Source organism: Homo sapiens, chromosome 5 (assembly GCF_000001405.40).
Source record: "Homo sapiens chromosome 5, GRCh38.p14 Primary Assembly".
In the NCBI taxonomy this organism is placed as follows: Eukaryota; Metazoa; Chordata; class Mammalia; order Primates; family Hominidae; genus Homo; species Homo sapiens.
Window position 1 is genome coordinate 93,431,677 of NC_000005.10, and position 12,676 is coordinate 93,444,352.

Sequence of the window (12,676 nt, forward strand, 5' to 3'; positions counted from 1 at the left end):
AATCCTGCAGTATGTTTCATTCCGTAAACCCAAGAAAAGTATTTACTCATTTTGAAGACGAAAAACACATTGTAGCTTTGTATTCATGGAGTACATGTTACCAGTGCTCTTCACTTACTTAAAGTATCTCTCAAAAATAAAATAACCCTCTTTGGACCACCACACTGTAAATGAGTTTGATTAATATGTTTTATAAGCCTGAAATAAATGCTCATCATAACTGTCAGTGAGCTGACAGCTTTCAAAAGTCTTTGTTCCCAGAATGAGTAATTTTTCTGATCTTCTTTAAAATACCGGTCTAAAAGGAAGATGTTAAAATCAAGTACATTCTACCAAAATTTGATTGCTGTTAAAGCAGCCTTGTATTCTGACTCCCTGCATAGACTATATGCATGTATACTACTTGACAAAATAAAAATACCACATCTTATTTATTATTATTGCTTGTCAGAACACCTGTGCTTTTCATTGGGCAGAACTGTGGTTCAGTGTTTAAGACCTAGTCCATTATAAGAATAAAAAATGTCAGATGTTATATATAGTCAATTCTTTTAGTAAAAATTGACCAGGAAATCATCACTAGACCCGATGATTTCAATGAAAACACCAGTCAAAAATCAGATGTGGTCATTAATTCTACTGAAACACCAACATCTCTATATTTGCTGCATATTTTCCAAGTACTTACCATGATCATTAAAATACAGAATGTTCCAAAGACCAGGGGACACCATTGAGCCCTCCATGTCTGAATTCTGCAGACAGCAGTAGATAATACCTGATGCTAGGAAAGGAACACATAGAGGGTACCTAAGTAGCTGAGCAAGGCTACACCAACTAGAACAACAAACACTTCTTCCTGACTCCTTTAGCCAATCACTTGTGTCCTGGAGCATTGGGTTTGGTTACCCTTCTTACCATATCTCAGAGAGTAAAATAACTATTTTAAATGGTCATTAAATTATCCATTCCCCTATTTCTCCATTCCAACTACTGCTGATGCGTCATAGCTGTTCCCTGGCAGAACTTCACAAAGCACCCTGCCTGTACGCTGCCTACAATTATAGCTTCTTTTGTCAGCATGTTTTCCTCCTTAATTCGGTACTACCTGCTCTCATACCATGCCCACAAAGGTTGAAGTTACAGATTTTCCCATATCTTTTTGTGTAATTTCTATTTTTCCTAATCTTTAAGAAAGGCTTATTTTATAACAGTATATCACATTTGTCCATTAGAAGTCATTTTTCATTTTATTATTTTCCAAATAGCCAAGAAACCACAGGTTTTATACATGCTATCACTGGCACATTGTGAGCATTACTGCTCTTCTTGTTCATTTTGATATATGCATTATTCAACTTTTAGTAAAGTATATTTTCATGCTTCTCCTATGCCATGACCACCCCTTATAATTTCTGATACATTGTGGCAGTTTTGAAAACAAAGTTCTCTCGTATCTTATAGACTAATTTCCCCACTTTTGTTATACCTTATCTCTTAGTGAGATATAAAGTTTTAGTATTTCGCACATGAATTAGGTCAAAAGATAATTTATTTTCTTCTTCGTTGTTGGGTTTTCTCCTTTAAGGAAACTAGAATTCCCTTGTAGCCAGCCTAAAACAATCTATATGCTATTTACATGCCCATGATAATCCCATAATTCCAGTAGTTCCACATTGTTTTCTAGACCTTCAAATTCTGTTCTTCTCAAAGTACTACACTGACTGGAGATTATGTTGTTAACTCTAAGAAACAAAGAAATGATACCTGGCTCAGGCAGGGTTCCTCTCTTTTGACGTAATGAATGCTATCTCCAAGTACAGTCATACATTGCTTAACAACAGGGATATGTTCTGAGAAATGCATTGTCAGGCAATTTCATCATTATGTGAACATCACAGGATGGACTTATACAAACCTATGACATTATGTAGCACATGACTGTATAGAGATGGTACTGACTCAGTACAAGTGTTAAAGTGGCCTGAAGTAGGATGCTTTTGACATTGCTCAATGCTTTTGACTGCTTCCTTGTCTATTCTGAATCATTTTTTATCTGTCCTCTAGTTTTAAAAGTCACTATGACCTTGTCATTTAGTGAGAGGAGCCATCCTTAACTATGATTATAAACTTAAATAATTATGCTGATCAGAATTTCCACACTTCACTCCTTCCTATGCCTCATTTCAGTTGCACGTATTTACTTTTACCAAAAGTAAAATTTATTGCCTCTACTTGAATTTCTTCCTAATGACCTACACGCAGCCTCCCTCACAATTCCCAGAGCCCTCAGGCCAAGTGTAGACTTTGCCTTATTTTTTTTCCATATGCTCTTTTTTTCCCATATGCTCTTTTTTTAGCGTCTATCAATATTTACCAATAATATCTGCACATTAGCAATATTTAAAAGGACAAGTAGTCTCTTCTTACAGCTAATGAAACATTAGTGTGTCCTTTCTTATTACCTATAAAACTATTGGCTTTTGCCTTTTTTTCATTGCTAGAAGGGATGATCAGTTTAGTGCAGTGATCTTCAAATTATATTCAGGGGTGCCTCAGGGTCCTTCTTAGAAGAAAATGGATGAAGTGGGGCACCAAACAGAAGGAGAGTTCCAGGCCCAATTCATCCAGCCCACTATCACTTTTTGTTTTCAACTTTTTATTTTCAAATAATTTTAAACTTACAGAAGAGTTTCAGGCATCGTATAAAGAACTCCTGTTTGTGTTTGACCCACATTGTTAACATTTTGCCACAATTGCTGTATCATTCTTTCTTGCCCTTCCCCTTCCCCCTCTCTTCTCTATGTATAACTTTTTTCTCTAAATTGTTTGAAAGTAAATTGCAGATACCATGTTTCATTACCTGTAAGCAGTTCTGTGTGACTTTCCCAAGAAAAAAGATATTCACTTACAGGGTCAAACTACAATAATCAAAATCAGGAAATTTAATATTGACATAATGCTATTATCTAATGTAATATGTAGAACTTATTTGAATTTTTCCAATTGTCCCCAAAATGTGCTGTATGGCAATTTTTGTTTTTCTGGTCCAGAATCATCCTTTCATTGTCTTTCACAACATTGACCTTTGTAAATAGTACATGCAATTTCCTTTGTAAAAATCCCCCAATTTGGGCTTGTCTAATTTTTTTTATAATTAGATTTAGGTTACATATTTTGGACAGCAATATTATATAAATGATGTTGTGTTCTTCTCAGTGAATCACATCAGGAAGTACATGATATTGGTTTGTCCAATTATTGGCAATGTTAATTCTGATTACTTAAGTTGTTAAGGTGGTATCTACCTGGTTACTCCACTATAAAGTTCTTTGTAATTAAAACCTATTTTATGCTTTGTAAGTAAAAAGTAACTTACGGGTAGATGCTTTTTAAGATCTTGTAAATATGCTGGTCCTCATCAGATTCTCATTCACTGGTTTAGCATCCACTGATAATTTGTTTAATTGCTATAGTGGTTGCAAAATGGTGATTTTCTAATATTATCATTCCTCCTACATTTATCAGTTAGTATCCTACTCCCTTGTTTGTTTAAGTGTGAACTCATGATTTTTTTATTTTTATTTAATGGGTTGAAATCATTATTCTCATTATTTTGAAACTCAAATTGTCTGAGTTTGGCCAGTGAGAAGCCCTTTGATCTATCAGACTTCCATGGTTTTCTGACATGTCCCATCATAATTGGAGCTGTATTATCACTTTATTTGTTTTCTGATTTATTTCCAAGCAATGCTTTTAAAAGTTTAAAATAGATTGTTCCACTATAACACTTTTTCCCCAATTTGCCTCATTTCAAGTTTGTATAAATAGTACCTAGAAAATAGAGAAGACAATAAATGATAGTAGCCCCTTTGCTTCTGTGGCCACTTGGTCACCACACTGTTCCTGCAAACTACTGGGTATGCTCCTGCAGTAGGGCTTGGCACCCACCATACCCTCTGCCTGGAATGCCCCTCCTGATGCCCCATCAGGGCTCGCTCCCCCATTTCCTTCAAGTCATAGTTCTATCATCCTCTTCTCAGGTAGGCCTTCTTTGACTACTTTATTGTAGTAAAACTCCTTTGATGATAACCCCTTCATTTCCAAGGTTTCATCCCAAAGCAAGACAATTGGTTTAACCCATCAATGGTTAAGTCACAAACATGGCATTAACCTTTGTTGGATTATTTTACCATAGTGGATTGACAAACTCCATAAAGTGCCTACTGGTACACACACAGTCCTTCTGGGTCATGAAAACAAAGTAGATGTTACCCACCCTACTGCTTCTGTCTTCTTTATTCAATACTATTCCCCATAACACATCCACTTCTGTATCACTTTATTATAGAATTAATCTAATGTTTAAAGCTGTTTGTATCAATAAATATGAAATCAAATAAAAGCATCAACAAACAAGGATCAAGTAGAACTATTTGTCTTTTCCTACAGAACATTCTCTAAAAGAAAATCTGTTTAAATTGTAACACTCACCATTTGCTTTTCCCAAGTGTTTTAAAAAACAAACAGAAAACCCTCAACAAACAATCACAGATAATAATCAACATCAAAGAGATACCCACAGGCTTTACAAATAGTCAAGTGCTTTCACTTAGTCATTCAACACAGAAACTCACTTTTCCCTGAGAACATTCCCTCAACATACAATTCAAAGTGACTGCATTTCACCAATTAGAATTAAAGGTATCCCCACCAAAATGCATAGCAAGTTCCATGACTTACTGAGTTTACCCAAAGCAAACTCAGTAAGCTATTACCATGTATTGCCAGTTTCTTAGGTCTTCTTAAGTTTCTCAAATGACTTACCTAGTCTTTTTCTAAAACCACTAACATATTTCAGACATTCAAAAGTATATTATTTCCAACTGCTGTATTGAGGGCACTAGGATGGCTGACTTTTCCCATCAATGTCTGTTTTTCATTAAATTACTTAACAGAAATCTTTTAGGTTTTTGAGATGCTTCTGTACTATAAAGCCAATACATTTGTCAACATGGTAAATAAGTTCACAAATGTGAACATTTGTTCACAAGCCACAAAATTATGAGGCACCTCATTATATAAAATAATGGAACAAATTCTACCAACACGTAATATATTCCCAAGGGTAAAGGATGAACATTAATTATAATTTAAATCACCTGACTACCTGGTCCACTTAGTGAAATCCTGGAGAGGTTTACACTCAAGGACCTAATGATACAACCTACAGCCCTAATTTACCTTCCAAGATGCCTATATTAGACACAGTAATACCTAGCTGATTTTAAGTGAAACTCATTATCTCCAAAAAAAAAAAAAAATTAAATACCATGTAAATTCACTGACCATTTGTTTTTTCATTATAATGTTAGCTATTCTTGGTATTCAATTGTTTAAGATAAAAAACATACCACAGTATTTAGTCCTCTAACATACAAAGAAAAACTATATTCATCATACATGATAAAATATAACTTCTTGTTCTTGAGGTCTAGAATTGCACTGTCCAAAATAGTAGTCAATAGCTACACATAGCTATTGAGCACTTGCAATGTGTCAAGTCCAAATTGAGATAAGCCGTAAATGTAAGATACACACCGGATTTCAAAGATTTAGCATGAAAAAAATGTAAAATATCTCACTAATAATTTTATGTTGATTACATGTTGAAACAATATTTCGATATATTGGGTTAAAGTATATTATAAAAATTAATTTCACTTGCTTCCTTTTAGGTTTTTTAATGTGGCTACTAGAAATTTTTAAATTATGTATGTGGCTCACATTTGATGTTTGCATTTATCTTATTTCTATTGAAGAGGGCTGGTCTGGACTAAAAGCAGGCAAAAGTCACAGTTATAAGGCCAGTTCCATAGTGTGTTATAAATATACTGCCACCACACAACTCTCTCATTTTCTGAGATTGTTAGCAGATCATCAAACCTCAAAAGCAGCAGAGGACTAAGCCTAGGTGAATTCAGTTTGTGATGAATAAAATTATAAATTTTACACATATTAAGATTCTATCATGATGTTTAATTAGGCAACACAGTAACCACCTGCTGTAACTATCTTACAAGCAACTATCACGTTATTAACATAGCCAAAGTTTATATATTTTATTGTTTTATTATCTCATTTCTATAAACACTATACCAAATATTCCTTCAAAACAGCTTATTATCTACTGAATACCTTTATTTAGATATCATGGGCATTTCAAATTCATTATGTCCAAAATGGAAAGCATTCTCTTACTGTTGAAAGGTAATTGTCCATGGTGTTTTTATTTGTCTCTGAGTAAAGACAGGATATGCTTCTGGGTTAGAGGGTACATTTGTTTCCTGACCAGCATAACAAAGATAATGTCAACCTCCAGGACAATGATTTTGGGCAAGTTTGCAAGTAGCCTCTTATAAGATTGGGAGGACACAGGTCCACCGTGTACACAGCATCTGTCTGGGCCTCACTCTGTATCATGGGATTTGGGGAATTCATAGATGCATGAAGATCATGCTGCCTACTTTGCTTTGAGTAATAAACTGTCTAAATCTATCTAGGCTCATTGTCTCCTTTTCAACGGAATCTACAGAAGTGTGGTGAGCCAGCCCAGCAGCTGACTGCTGCTTGAAACTGCTTGATATTTACTTTCCCTTTTACTTTCTCAATCTTCGTACAAGCATCACTATATACCCACTGCCCAAGTCAGAAACCTGACCATCAATCTTGACTCCTGCCTCTCATTCACCAGGCCCACCATATCCAGTCAACTGCCAAGTCCTAGTCATTCTATCTGCTTAATTTCTCTCAAACTATCTATTTATCTCCATCCCCACTACTTTAACCCTAGTTCAGGTCATTATCCTCTCTTACGTAGATGCTTAATTTGTGCCACTAAACCAGTGTTACCCCACTTCACTCTATTCTCCATACTGCAGCTGGAATGATCTGATTTGTCATTTCTTTGACAGGATAAAGTCCAAGCTTCTTAGGATGACAAAGTATTTCAAAGCCAGGACTTACATAGAATGTTTCTTGGAATTCCATTTGCGACTGTTTCACCTGAGGGGGAAAGGAGGTGGAAGAGGAGAAAACAAGAGATTAGTCCCACTTCTAACATAAAAGACTTGGGAGAAAAAGGATAAGCTGGGTGCTATGGCCTAGAAGGAGCACTCTAAGAGAGCTGAACCTTAGTGGAACTGCCAGAGTTCCTTTCTTCCTTATTCATAAAAAGATTTGATGGTTATTATGTAAGGTGATGAATATGTAAACTACCTCAATTGTAATAATCATTCCACAATGTAAACATATATCAAAGCATCATGTTGTATACCTTAAATATATACAATTTTTATTTGTCAATTATACCTCAGTAAAGCAGGGAAAAAAGATTTGAATCTGACTAAACTCAATGACTTCCTCTGTTAGAACTGGTAACCAAAAATTGACCTAACATAGCCAAGAAGGACCATTATTACTTTACTCACTGCCAGCCACATTTATTCTGATGAAGAGAATGTGCCATCTGTAAGCAATATTACTTTCTTGTTATTAGATTTTTGAATGGACAATTAGTGCCACATCTTTTCCTTTTAGTTCATGGCACCCAATAAAAAGGCTTTTTTCTTTTTTTTGAGACGGAGTCTCGCTGTCACCCAGGCTGGAGTGGAGTGGCGCGATCTCGGCTCACTGCAGGCTCCGCCCCCCGGGGTTCACGCCATTCTCCTGCCTCAGCCTCCCAAGTAGCTGGGACTACAGGTGCCCGCTACCTCGCCCGGCTAATTTTTTGTATTTTTAGTAGAGACGGGGTTTCACTGTGTTAGCCAGGATGGTCTCGATCTCCTGACCTCGTGATCCACCCGCCTCGGCCTCCCAAAGTGCTGGGATTACAGGCGTGAGCCACTGCGCCCGGCCAAGGCTTTTCTTTTAAAATGTCTGATGTTAAAAAATGCTCAAATCAGTTGAATCATGTAGATGGAATGGGGAAAGTTCAGACCAAGCCTCCATCCTCATCTCTCATCCATGATGTTTTCTCTGCCTTGAACAGATTTTCTTGGCTTTTTGTCTGATTAAGCCCCTCTTCATTACTTAGCTTAAATTTTATCTCCTCCAGGAAGGCTCCTCTGACTCTCAAAGTAGCATTGGATGTCTTTCCTATGAATTCTCTTAGCATTTAATACTTGCTCATCATGTTTCAGCATTTAGTACACAGTATTTAAATGATATATTTGCTTATCTCCCCAACTAGACAGTAACCTCCTTGAAGACAATGTGTCTAACTCATTATTTTATCCCCAGTGGTAGCATCATGCCTAGCACATAATAGACACCCAATCAGTAATTATTCATTATAAACAGATAAATAATCAGATAAGTCTTTGGAAAGTAAAAAAGGGAATTACAATCTTTTTAAAAAGGAGGAGAAGGAAAGTTTAGGCTGTGGAGTTTTTCTTATCTCCACCCACATTCTCTCTCTCCCTCAATCCTCTTTCTCTCGCTCGCTCTCTCTCTCTGTCTCTCTCTCTCTCTCTCTCTCTCTCACACACACACACACACAGAGAAAGTTAATTTTATGTATCAACTTGACTGGGCCATGGGGTGCCCAGAAACTTGATTAAACATTGTTACTGGGTATGTCTCCAAGGATATTTCTAGATGAGATTAACTTTTGAATCAGTAGACTGAGTAAAGCAGATTGGTCTCTCCAATGTGGATGGGCGTTGAGCAACCCATTGAAGGCCTGAATAGAATTAAAGACTGAGTAAGAAGGAATTCTTTCTCTCTACTTGTCTTCAAACTAGGACACTGGTTTCTCCCGCCTTCAGACTTGTACAAGACTGGAACTTACACTATTGGCTCTCTTGGTTCTCAGACCTTCAGACTCCAGCTGGAACTATACCACGAGCTCTCCCTAGTCTGGGTTTCTCAGACTCCACAATCAAGTAAGCCAGTTTTTTATAGTAAATCTCTCACTCACTCACTCACTCTGTTTCTGAAGATATCTACATCTTATTGGTTCTGTTTTTCTGAAGCACTTTAATACACACACTGACATGCCATGTCACTGATGTTTTCCCTAATTTCAACAGCCTTCCTAGTCCTAGGTTTGCAGTTTCAGCACTACCAGCTTTCATGAGGAAAAATAAATGCATTTTTTCAAATATATTCTTTTTATCTCATCTAAGCCTCCAAACATTTCTTACAACTGGAAAGGCCTGTATACAGCAACAATGTAGATCATCTTACTTTACTCCTTTACTCCAAAAACCCAATAGGAAAATGTGTCTTAAACTTCCAAAATACAAATACTAGACCATTTATTAACTATATGCTGCTAATATTCACCTTCTTACATTTTTACTAAACCTAATATTTCTTCACCTTTGAAAACTTTAGAGATAACATAAAGTATTGTGATTATAGAAATTAATCATCTTTTTCATGTAAGGCAGAGTTGAATGTAATCTCTACATAAATCAAGTTTGTTTCCAGGCCAGAAGAACGAAGATGGTGAAGATAGGATGACAGCTAAACTGGACAACTTGTTCATTAACTTTTTAGCATCAAAGACCTTTATCTTTGCCCACTATCCTTTCCAAAGACCTGAGGTACTTCTGGCCTCTGGTTCTGAATTTTGGAAAGAGAAGCTTAGAATGCTGCTAAGCTTTCTTCCAATACCTTACCTAGAGTGATCAACATAGCACCTCAAAAAAGTCAAAGAAGAGAGACCTTCAAGTCAACTGATGTACCATGGCAGGTTTCAAGAATGTCTGTGATCCCAACAGTGCAAACAGCTGAGGGAAATTCTGGTGGCCTGGAGGTCATTAGTCGGTTGCCCCCAGTTTAAATTGTCAGAGTTTTCTTTGGCCACTATCTGAAATGAAATGATTTCAGAAAGATCAAGGTAGCTCAACTTTATAACCAAGTTCTTTTAGATATGGAAAACAAAGTTCTTAAACTTGTAGAGCATTCTACTTCAGAGTAAGAATAAGTATAACATCACTGTGGAGATAAATCCATGTTCTAGGAATGACTCTGCAACTTTAAAGCTTCCTGAGCCTTGGCTTCCTCTTTGTCATAAAAATTAGTTAAAAAACAATCCAATGTGCCTGTAACATTATATACCATGTGTAGATGCTCAACAGAAGGCAGTCATAATTTTGTAAGATTCTCCCTAAGAAGTTAGCAAAGTACAGCCTGCAGGGCAAACTACTCAATGCCTGTTTTTGTAAATAAAGTTTCATTGGAATACAGCACACTTATGACTACTTCTGTGGTACAATGACAGAGCTGAGTAGGAGAAAGAGTAATGACAGTTATAACAGAGACTGCATGACCCACAAAACCTAAAATATTTACTCTCTGGCCCTTTATAGAAAATGCTTGCTAGCTGGGGGTTCCAAGATGGCCAAATAGGAACAGCTCCAGTCTACAGCTCCCAGCGTGAGCAACACAAAAGATGGGTGACTTCTGCATTTCCAACTGAGGTGCCAGGTTCATCTCACTGGGGCTTGTCGGACAGTGGGTGCAGCCCACAGAGTGTGAGCTGAAGCAGGGCGGGGCATCACCTCACCCAGGAAGCGCAAGGGGTTGGGCAATTCCCTTTCCTAGCCAAGGGAAGCCATGACAGACGGTACCTGGAAAATCGGGACACCCTCACCCTAATACTGTGCTTTTCCAATGGTCTTAGCAAATGGCACACCAGGAGATTATATCCTGCACCTGGCTCGGAGGGTCCCACGCCCATGGAGCCTTGCTGACTGCTAGCACAGCAGTCTGAGATCAAACTGCAAGGCAGCAGTGAGGCTGGGGGAGGGGCACCCGACATTGCTGAGGCTTGAGTAGGTAAACAAAGTGGCTGGGAAGCTCAAACTGGGTGGAGCCCACCACAGCTCAAGGAGGCCTGCCTGCCTATGTAGACTCCACCTCTGGGGGTAGGGCATAGCTGAATAAAAGGCAGCAGAAACTTGTGTACACTTAAACGTCCCTGTCTGACAGATTTGAAGAGAGCAGTGCTTCTCCCAGCACAGAGTTTGAGATCTGAGAATGGACAGACTGCCTCCTGAAGTGGGTCCCTGACCCCTGAGTAGCCTAACTGGGAGACACCTCCCAGTAGGGGCCGACTGACACCTCATACAGCCAGATGCCCCTCTGAGACAAAGCTTCCAGAGGAAGGATCAGGCAGCAACATTTGCCGTTTTGCAATATTTGCTGCTCTGCAGCCTCTGCTGGTGATACCCAGGCAAACAGGGTCTGGAGTGGACCTCCAGCAAACTCCAACAGACCTGCAGCTGAGGGTCCTCACTGTTAGAAGGAAAACTAACAAACAGAAAGGACGTCCACACCAAAACCCCATCTGTACATCACCATCATCAAAGACCAAAGGTAGATAAAACCACAAAGATGAGGAGAAACCAGAGCAGAAAAGCTGAAAATTCTAAAAATCAGAGTGCCTCTTCTCTTCCAAAGGAATGCAGCTCCTCACCAGCAATGGAACAAAGCTGCATGGAGAATGACTTTGACGAGTTGAGAGAAGAAGGCTTCAGATGATCAGTAATCACAAACTTCTCTGAGCTAAAGTATGATGTTTGAACCCATCACAAAGAAGCTAAAAACCTTGAAAAACGATTAGACAAATGGCTAACTAGAATAAACAGCATAGAGAAGACCCTAAATGACCTGATGGAGCTGAAAACCATGGCGCGAGAATTACGGGACGCATGTACAAGCTTCTGTAGCCGATTCGTTCAAGTGGAAGAAAGGGTATCAGTGATTGAAGATTAAATGAATGAAATGAAGTGAGAAGAGAAGTTTAGAGAAAAAAAGAGTAAAAAGAAAAGAACAAAGCCTCCAAGAAATATGGGACTATATGAAAAGACCAAATCTACATCTGACTGGTATACCTTAAAGTGATGAGGGGAATGGAACCAAGTTGGAAAACATGCTTCAGGATATTATCCAGGAGAACTTCCCCAATCTAGAAAGACAGGCCAATATTCAAATTCAGGAAATACAAAGAACACCACAAAGATATTCCTCGAGAAGAGCAACTCCAAGACACATAATTGTCAGATTCACCAAAGTTGAAATGAAGGAAAAAATATTAAGGGCAACCAGAAAGAAAGGTTGGGTTACCCACAAAGGCAAGCCCATCAGACTAACAGCAGATCTCTTGGCAGAAACTCTACAAGCCAGAAGAGAGTGGGGGCCAATATTCAACATTCTTAAGGGAAACAATTTTCAACCCAGAAGTTCATATCCAGCCAAACTAAGTTTCATAAGTGAAGGAGAAATAAAATCCTTTACAGACAAGCAAATGCTGAGAGATTTTGTCACCACCAGGCCTGCCCTAAAAGAGCTCCTGAAGGAAGCACTAAACATGGAAAGGCACAACCGGTACCAGCCACTGCAAAAACATGACAAATTGTAAAGACCATCAATGCTAGGAAGAAACTGCATCAACTAGTGAGCAAAATAACCAGCTAACATCATAATGATGGGATCAAATTCACACATAACAATATTAACCTTAAATGTAAATGGGCTAAATGCTCCAGTTAAAAGACACAGACTGGCAAATTGGATAAAGAGTTAAGATCCATCAGTGTGCTGTATTCAGGAGACTCATCTCAGGTGCAGAGACACACACAGGCTCAAAATAAAGGGATGGAGG

The 12,676-nt window shown here is 38.1% G+C and overlaps 1 long non-coding RNA gene across 45 annotated transcripts in view; it reads right to left on the bottom strand.

Moving 5' to 3' along the window:
- The window catches only part of NR2F1-AS1 (NR2F1 regulatory antisense RNA 1), a 176,234-nt gene that overhangs the window by 22,321 nt on the left and 141,237 nt on the right, over positions 1–12,676 (bottom strand). For 15 of the 45 annotated variants that reach the window (NR_186215.1, NR_186218.1, NR_186221.1 and 12 more), the window contains one exon: positions 7,027–7,065. The exons of 17 other annotated variants lie outside the window; for them this stretch is intronic. This is a non-coding gene — a long non-coding RNA (NR2F1 regulatory antisense RNA 1). Of the gene's footprint in view, positions 1–688; positions 785–4,281; positions 7,066–12,676 lie in introns of those variants that run through there. 13 more of the 45 variants (NR_186217.1, NR_186185.1, NR_186187.1 and 10 more) reach the window with 3 other exon arrangements.